General features: G+C 66.6%; 1 protein-coding gene across 21 annotated transcripts; it reads right to left on the reverse strand.

The window, feature by feature from the left end:
- Window positions 1-212: 212 nt before the first annotated feature.
- Window positions 213-7,304, reverse strand: MUC1 (mucin 1, cell surface associated). Of its 21 annotated transcripts, NM_001371720.2 has the most exon segments (12): window positions 213-598; window positions 1,614-1,763; window positions 1,844-1,965; window positions 2,111-2,247; window positions 2,397-2,452; window positions 2,552-3,323; window positions 3,629-4,591; window positions 4,769-4,876; window positions 4,878-5,040; window positions 5,370-5,695; window positions 5,937-6,699; window positions 7,175-7,298. In NM_001371720.2, coding segments are annotated over 12 exon segments (3,693 nt in total). In that variant the 5' UTR covers window positions 7,233-7,298; the 3' UTR covers window positions 213-523.

The following is a 9,068-nucleotide window of genomic DNA, read 5'->3' on the forward strand; positions in this document are numbered from 1 at the left end:
TCGTTTCCTCCTTCCTCTTGTGCTGCCAGGGTTAGCCAGAGGTGGCTCCTCAGGCCACCCCTACTCCCCAATGTCACCTCCTCCTCACATCTCCTGCTTCTCAAACAAACTCGCTCCTTACTGCCTCCTGGCCTCCCTGTCTCCTCCCCCAGCCCCCTCACACACATTCTGACCGCCCTGCTGCCCACGGGTCACAGATGAAAGATCAGAAGTTGGCGCAGTGGGAGACCACGTTTTATTCAGTCCAGTTCAGGATCCCCGCTATCTCAGGGCTCTCTGGGCCAGTCCTCCTGGGAGCCCCCACCACAACACTTCCCAGGCATGAGCCCTCAGGGGCCCACATGAGCTTCCACACACTGAGAAGTGTCCGAGAAATTGGTGGGGCCTCTGAAGGAGGCTGTGAGCAGCCCACCTGAACTCCCAGCTCACCAGCCCAAACAGGGTGCAGGGGCTCTGGCCCTGAAGAACCTGAGTGGAGTGGAATGGCACTGGCTGGCCACTCAGCTCAGCGGGCGACGTGCCCCTACAAGTTGGCAGAAGTGGCTGCCACTGCTGGGTTTGTGTAAGAGAGGCTGCTGCCACCATTACCTGCAGAAACCTGGGTGGAAGGAAAAGAGATCCAGGGTGAGGAGCAAAAGGTACCTCCTAGAGCCCCTGGATGCCACCCCAGGCTGGGGTAATCAGTCCAGAGTCCTGGCCAGCTCTCAAAGGGTTAATTCAGAGAGAGCACCTGCCACCCCACCAGCCAGGTGACTGTAAACAGGGCTGCCCTCCTCCCTCTGCTCTCCTTCACTCCCTCTTCTTGGCTCTAATCAGCCCCCTTGTCCCTCCATTCTCTGCTGTTCCAGCCTAAGGAGGTGTGTGTGTGTGTGTGTGTGTGTTTTGGGGGGCGGGGTGTATCTGTGTCTTTGTAAAGCCGAGAGAGGGAGGTCTCCAGGAGGAGGAAAATAGGAGCAAGAAAACTAAACTCTCTCCTCCCCCACCTGGAGTGGTTTTCCAGCCTCAGGTGGCTGCAGTAATTATTTACTAGGTCCCATAGAGAAAGACCAGGAGAGGAAGGAGGGAGCGTTCCTTGCTTCCTTGAAGCTCCCAAGAACCCCACTGGCACCCACGCTCACCTGGTCTGCTGACACTTCTTCTTCTACCTGGGAAACCTCCCCCTATGCCAGCCTTTCTCGGTCTACCCTCCATTCCTAGGAGATGATTAGGGGCACAGAGGCTCACCCCTGGGACTCCTCGGGAAGGGCTCCCCTGGGCATAGTGCTCCACCCATTTTGCCTCTGGGTGCAAAAAAGCAAAACAAAACAAAACTGCCACGGTGGCACCAGTTCAGCCAGCGCCAGCCAGCATGAATGTGGACGGCCAATGATCTTTTAGGAATTCTGGCAGTGGGGCCACTCCCTCTTGAGGGCCCCTTTCTTCCATAGTCTCCTCCCAGGCCTGTCCCCCAAAACTCCTCTGACCTCTGCCCCTCATCCTTGCCAGGCCCTCCCCTGCTCACTTCACGCCACTTCTCACCTCTTCCAAGCTCTTTGGGTTTTCCAAGTACCCCCTTCAGAATCCTTGCCCAGCCAAACCCTCTGCTTCCCCTGGCCTGTGGGGCCCAATCTCACCTTCTCATAGGGGCTACGATCGGTACTGCTAGGGGGCACATAGCGCCCATGGGTGTGGTAGGTGGGGTACTCGCTCATAGGATGGTAGGTATCCCGGGCTGGAAAGATGTCCAGCTGCCCGTAGTTCTTTCGGCGGCACTGACAGACAGCCTGGGGAGATAGGAGGTTATGGCAGGCCATGGAGTGCCTTCTACCGGGGGGCTCTGATCAGGGCCAGGGACTGCACTCACCAAGGCAATGAGATAGACAATGGCCAGCGCAACCAGAACACAGACCAGCACCAGCAGCGCGATGCCCCAGCCTGGCACCCCAGCCCCAGACTGGGCAGAGAAAGGAAATGGCACATCACTCACTAAAAGGAAAAGCAGTGGTCAGGGCAGTCTCCCAGAGGAGGCGCCCCTCCCGCTGCCAGCACTAAGGAAAGAGCGGGGACCCAGACACTGGAAGGAGAGGGGCCCCGGCATGGTGCTGGGCTGCAGCCAGGGAAGTAGCCTCACCGCTGACGTCTGAGATCGTCAGGTTATATCGAGAGGCTGCTTCCGTTTTATACTGATTGAACTGTGTCTCCACGTCGTGGACATTGATGGTACCTTCTCGGAAGGCCAGAGTCAATTGTACCACCACAGATCCTGGCCTGGTCACAGGGAAATGGGCACTTCAGCCACGGGTCCCAGCTCTGGCTCAGCACTCTTCCCCCAACCTTAAGTGCACCAGTCCCTCCCTACGGTCATGACCACCACCCACCCTCCAACCACCACACTGGGTCCACACCCAGAACTGTACCTGAACTTAATATTGGAGAGGCCCAGAAAACCCCCTTGTTTATAAATCTGCAAAAACTGGGGTGAGAGGGAAAGGACTCAGGCTTGATGCAAAGGGTGTGGACAGTTCTGATGGCTGCTTCAGGGGAGCATGGGGAAGGAAAGGCCGATACTCACCATTTCAGAAATGTCTCTCTGCAGCTCTTGGTAGTAGTCGGTGCTGGGATCTTCCAGAGAGGAATTAAACTGGAGGTTTGAAATGTGAAAAGACAGGAAAAAGAAAGAGACCCCAGTAGACAACTGGGGAGAAGTGCTGTGATTGGAGGAGGTGAGAGGAGGTACCGTGCTATGGTGAGTGCTACTGGCATCAGTCTTGGTGCTATGGCTGGCAAGGGTGGTAGGAGTATCAGAGTGGTGGCTGGGAATTGAGAATGGAGTGCTCTTGCTGGCTGGGGTTGTGGTAGCCCTGGCAGAGGTGCCGTTGTGCACCAGAGTAGAAGCTGAGCCTGATGCAGAGCCTGAGGCCGAGGTGACATTGTGGACTGGAGGGGCGGTGGAGCCCAAGGCGGGCCTGTTGTCCGGGGCCGAGGTGACACCATGGGCTGGGGGGGCGGTGGAGCCCGGGGCCGGCCTGGTGTCCGGGGCCGAGGTGACACCGTGGGCTGGGGGGGCGGTGGAGCCCGGGGCCGGGGTGGAGCCCGGGGCCCGCCTGGTGTCCGGGGCCGAGGTGACACCGTGGGCTGGGGGTGCGGTGGAGCCCGGGGCCGGCCTGGTGTCCGGGGCCGAGGTGACACCGTGGGCTGGGGGGGCGGTGGAGCCCGGGGCCGGCCTGGTGTCCGGGGCCGAGGTGACACCGTGGGCTGGGGGGGCGGTGGAGCCCGGTGCCGGCCTGGTGTCCGGGGCCGAGGTGACACCGTGGACTGGGGGGGCGGTGGAGCCCGGGGCCGGCCTGGTGTCCGGGGCCGAGGTGACACCGTGGGCTGGGGGGGCGGTGGAGCCCGGGGGCCGGCCTGGTGTCCGGTGCCGAGGTGACACCGTGGGCTGGGGGGGCGGTGGAGCCCGGAGCCGGTCTGTTGTCCGGGGCCGAGGTGACACCGTGTGCTGGAGTGTCGGTGGAGCCCGAGGCCGGCCTGGTGTCCGGGGCCGAGGTGACACTGTGAGCTGGGCTGCGGGCGCGGTGGAGCCCGGGGCCGGCCTGCTCTCTGTTTTAAATATACACCGTGGGCTGCGGGCGCGGTGGAGCCCGGGGACGGCCTGGTGTCCGGGGCCGAGGTGACACCGTGGGCTGGGGGGGCGGTGGAGCCCGGGGCCGGCCTGGTGTCCGGGGCCGAGGTGACACCGTGGGCTGGGGGGGCGGTGGAGCCCGGGGCCGGCCTGGTGTCCGGGGCCGAGGTGACACCGTGGGCTGGGGGGGCGGTGGAGCCCGGGGCCGGCCTGGTGTCCGGGGCCGAGGTGACACCGTGGGCTGGGGGGGCGGTGGAGCCCGGGGCCGGCCTGGTGTCCGGGGCCGAGGTGACACCGTGGGCTGGGGGGGCGGTGGAGCCCGGGGCCGGCCTGCTCTCCGGGGCCGAGGTGACACCGTGGGCTGCTCTCGCGGTGGAGCCCGGGGCCGGCCTGCTCTCCGGGGCCGAGGTGACACCGTGGGCTGGGGGGGCGGTGGAGCCCGGGGCCGGCCTGGTGTCCGGGGCCGAGGTGACACCGTGGGCTGGGGGGGCGGTGGAGCCCGGGGCCGGCCTGGTGTCCGGGGCCGAGGTGACACCGTGGGCTGGGGGGGCGGTGGAGCCCGGGGCCGGCCTGGTGTCCGGGGCCGAGGTGACACCGTGGGCTTGGGGGGCGGTGGAGCCCGGGGCCGGCCTGGTGTCCGGGGCCGAGGTGACACCGTGGGCTGCGGGCGCGGTGTAGCCCGGGGCGGGCCTTGTGTCCGGGGCCGAGGTGACACCGTGGGCTGGGGGGGCGGTGGAGCCCGGGGCGGGACTGGTGTCCGGGGCCGAGGTGACACCGTGGGTTGGGGGGGCGGTGGAGCCCGGGGCCGGCCTGGTGTCCGGGGCCGAGGTGACACCGTGGGCTGGGGGGGCGGTGGAGCCCGGGGCCGGCCTGCTCTCCGGGGCCGAGGTGACACCGTGGGCTGCGGGCGCGGTGGAGCCCGGGGCCGGCCTGCTCTCCGGGGCCGAGGTGACACCGTGGGCTGCGGGCGCGGTGGAGCCCGGGGCCGGCCTGGTGTCCGGGGCCGAGGTGACACCGTGGGCTGGGGGCGCGGTGGAGCCCGGGCCAGAACTGCTTTCCGGGGCCGTGGTGACTCCGTGGGCTGCGGGCGCGGTGGAGCCCGGGGCCGGCCTGCTCTCTGGGGCCGAGGTGACACCGTGGGCTGCGGGCGCGGTGGAGCCCGGGGCGGAACTCTCCGGGGCCGAGGTGACACCGTGGGCTGGGGGGGGGGGGGAGCCCGGGGCCGGCCTGGTGTCCGGGGCCGAGGTGACACCGTGGGCTGGGGGGGCGGTGGAGCCCTGGGGCCGGCCTGGTGTCCGGGGCCGAGGTGACACCGTGGGCTGGGGGGGCGGTGGAGCCCGGGGCCGGCCTGGTGTCCGGGGCCGAGGTGACACCGTGGGCTTGGGGGGCGGTGGAGCCCGGGGCCGGCCTGGTGTCCGGGGCCGAGGTGACACCGTGGGCTGCGGGCGCGGTGGAGCCCGGGGCGGGCCTGGTGTCCGGGGCCGAGGTGACACCGTGGGCTGGGGGGGCGGTGGAGCCCGGGGCGGGCCTGGTGTCCGGGGCCGAGGTGACACCGTGGGCTGGGGGGGCGGTGGAGCCCGGGGCCGGCCTGGTGTCCGGGGTCGAGGTGACACCGTGGGCTTGGGGGGCGGTGGAGCCCGGGGCCGGCCTGGTGTCTGGGGGGGCGGTGGAGCCGGGGCCGGCCTGGTGTCCGGGGTTGGAAAACTGGGCTGGGGGGGCGGTGGAGCCCGGGGCCGGCAGGGGTCCGGGGCCGAGGTGACACCGTGGGCTGGGGGGGCGGTGGAGCCCGGGGCCGGCCTGGTGTCCGGGGCCGAGGTGACACCGTGGGCTTGGGGGGCGGTGGAGCCCGGGGCCGGCCTGGTGTCCGGGGCCGAGGTGACACCGTGGGCTGCGGGCGCGGTGGAGCCCGGGGCGGGCCTGGTGTCCGGGGCCGAGGTGACACCGTGGGCTGGGGGGGCGGTGGAGCCCGGGGCGGGCCTGGTGTCCGGGGCCGAGGTGACACCGTGGGCTGGGGGGGCGGTGGAGCCCGGGGCCGGCCTGGTGTCCGGGGCCGAGGTGACACCGTGGGCTTGGGGGGCGGTGGAGCCCGGGGCCGGCCTGGTGTCCGGGGCCGAGGTGACACCGTGGGCTGCGGGCGCGGTGGAGCCCGGGTCCGTCCTTCTCTCCGAGGGCCGAGGTGACATCGTAGACTGCGGGCGCGGTGGAGCCCGGGTCCGGCCTGCTCTCCGAGGCCGAGGTGACACCGTAGACTGGGGGGGCGGTGGAGCCCGGGGCCGGCCTGGTGTCCGGGGCCGAGGTGACACCGTGGGCTGGGGGGGCGGTGGAGCCCGGAACCGGCCTGGTGTCCGGGGCCGAGGTGACACCGTGGGCTGGGGGGGCGGTGGAGCCCGGGGCCGGCCTGGTGTCCGGGGCCGAGGTGACACCGTGGGCTTGGGGGGCGGTGGAGCCCGGGACCGACCTGGTGTCCGGGGCCGAGGTGACACCGTGGGCTGCGGGCGCGGTGGAGCCCGGGGCGGACCTGGTGTCCGGGGCCGAGGTGACACCGTGGGCTGGGGGGGCGGTGGAGCCCGGGGCGGGCCTGGTGTCCGGGGCCGAGGTGACACCGTGGGCTGGGGGGGCGGTGGAGCCCGGGGCCGGCCTGGTGTCCGGGGCCGAGGTGACACCGTGGGCTTGGGGGGCGGTGGAGCCCGGGGCCGGCCTGGTGTCCGGGGCCGAGGTGACACCGTGGGCTGGGGGGGCGGTGGAGCCCGGGGCTGGCTTGTTGTCCGGGGCTGAGGTGACATCGTGGGCTGGCGGGGTGGTGGAGCCCAGGGCTGGCCTGGTGACTGGGACCGAGGTGACATCCTGTCCCCAGGTGGCAGCTGAACCTGAAGCTGGTTCCGTGGCCGGGGCCAGAGTGACATCCTGTCCCTGAGTGGTGGAGGAGCCTGAACCGGGGCTGTGGCTGGAGAGTACGCTGCTGGTCATACTCACAGCATTCTTCTCAGTAGAGCTGGGCACTGAACTTCTCTGGGTAGCCGAAGTCTCCTTTTCTCCACCTGGGGTAGAGCTTGCATGACCAGAACCCGTAACAACTGTTGCGGGTTTAGGGGCTGTGGTAGCTGTAAGAAGTTAAAGTCATAGGGTTGGGTCTTTATGAAGGAAAAATAAGAGCAAGAAGAAAATATAAGCTCTGGCCACCAGAGAAATAATACCAGGAGGACTGGGGAGTGGGCAGCCTCAGTAACCCCTGGGTTGGCCGCCTCCTTCCCTGCAGCAGCCTCCTTCTCTCTGCCCATAGGCCTTGGCTCATGGCCCCTGCATTTCTTCCCCTCTTAAGCCTTCCCTCTCCCTACTCTCTTCCCCCTAGACTTCTCTACAGGACATTTGCTTGCCCCTGGTACCCACTCTCAGGGTTGGGGGCAACTCTTCTCAGCCTGTCCTTAGCCTCTCCCTCCTTCTGGCACAGACAGGGCAGCCTCTGTCTGCAATTCTTACCTTAACTTCATGGTGCCATCTGCCAGGGAGCAAAACCCACAGAAAGACCACGAAGACCACCTAAGCAGGGCAGCCCACTCCCCACCTCGTGCCCCTCACCTGTAAGCACTGTGAGGAGCAGCAGCAGGAAGAAAGGAGACTGGGTGCCCGGTGTCATGGTGGTGGTGAAATGGGTGGGGAGGGGGCAGAACAGATTCAGGCAGGCGCTGGCTGCTTGAGAGGTGGAGCGGGCACAGGCGCCTACCGCTTTATACCGGTCCCCCCACTCCCCGCCCGCCCGCCCTAGGCACAGCCGGAGCAGGTGACAGGTGACAAAACCCCGCCCCCTCCCCTACCTCCTACCTCTTCCTCCTCCTCCCCAACCATTCCTGGGTAGGGTACAAGGGCTCTAATCGCTCAACCCCCTGACTACCCGTTTGTTCTCCAGCTGGCCTCCCCCTTTCACCAACCACTCCCTGGCTCCGGGGGAGGGGGGAGGGGCAGTCTGGAACTTGGGGCCCCTGGGCTCTAGTTTTAGCCTCAGGGCAACAACTAACGTGGGGATGGGGAACAAAGCCAGCTAGGTCGAGGTCCTGTACAGCAAGGTCGGGAAGCCCACCCCTAGGTCTCCCACTCCACTTCCCCGCCCTCCCCGGGTCCACTGAAGCAGAGCGGGGCCGAGAAATAAGAGGGCTGGATAATGAGTGGACTAGGTGCTAGTTTTGGGCTCCCTCCCCCCACCACTTCCCGGAATAGCCCCACCCTTCTAACCGCTCCCTGTCCCGTTCCACACGCAGTTCTACCCTGAAACCCACAGTCCCCGCCCCAGCCGGACTTTCCAGCAGCCTGGGTTCCCTCCTTGGAGAAAGCCAAGGAGGGAGTGGGGGAAGAAATTTCCACTTAAGGGAGTAAACCTGGGCTCCGATGAACCCTAGGGTCCTTCCTTGCCACTCTCCACCACTGGCCAGGAGCTCCTCCCGCCCTCTAGTGGTCACCGGGAGCCTTGCGGGGCTGGGCCGCGCAAGCTGAGGGGCCGCTCGGACCGGGCGGAGAGGAGTAAGGGCAGCGCTGCCTAAGTGAGGCAGCGAGAGCCCGCGAGAGGGAAGCAGGGCCCGGGAGAGAAGGGTCACTGCCGTGGCCAGGGAGGGAGGAACGCACAGCATGGTGGACGGCTGGGAGCTTTAGGAGGGGGCACTCCGGGACGCGTGGTGGTGGCGTCTGGAGGAAATGGAGCTAAGCGGGTGGGGTCCTGAGGTATGTGGAAGGGGCACCGAGGTATGTGGGAGAGGACGTTGGAACGTGGGCGGGGGAGTTGGACACGTTCTGTGTGGGCCGTTATGTACTTAAGAGGCAGATCGGGCGTGGCACGGTGGCTCACGCCCGTAATCCCAACACTTTGGAAGGCCGAGGCGAGTGGATCACAAGGTCAGGGGTTCAAGACCAGCCTGGCCAAGATGGTGAAACCTCGTCTCTACTAAAAACTACAAAAATTAGCCGAGCGTGGTGGCGGGCGCTGTAACCCCAGCTACTCAGGAGGCTGAGGCAGGAGAATCGCTTGAACCCGGGAGGCGGAGGTTGCAGTGAGCCGAGATCGCGCCATTGCACTCCAGCCTGGGCGACAGAGCAAGACTCCGTCTCAAAACAAAAAAGGGGGGGGCAGAGAGTAGGTGGGGTGACAGAATGGGATTTACGGACACAGAACTATCCTTTGGGGAGCAGAGTGGTATTGGGGACAGGTAGGCACGTAGCGGGGGGCAAAAGCACACGTGAGGTGCGTAATGCGCGACAGCCAAGAGGTGTGTGCGGCAGCAGTGCACGAGGGGAGGAAGCTATCCCAGGCCGCGGCAGCACGTGGAACTTGGGTCCCGCAGTCGCAGGCTGCGCTCTAGGCCGACGGAAGCAGTTCCGCCTGTATTCAGAAAACAGTTCTCAGCCCCAAAGACACAGGTTGGAAAGAACACTTTAAAAACACTTCGGCGAGGCACGGGATTGGAGCGCATCAGATCAGCAGGCG

The sequence above is a fragment of the Homo sapiens genome, chromosome 1 (assembly GCF_000001405.40).
Source record: "Homo sapiens chromosome 1, GRCh38.p14 Primary Assembly".
Classification (NCBI taxonomy): Eukaryota; Metazoa; Chordata; class Mammalia; order Primates; family Hominidae; genus Homo; species Homo sapiens.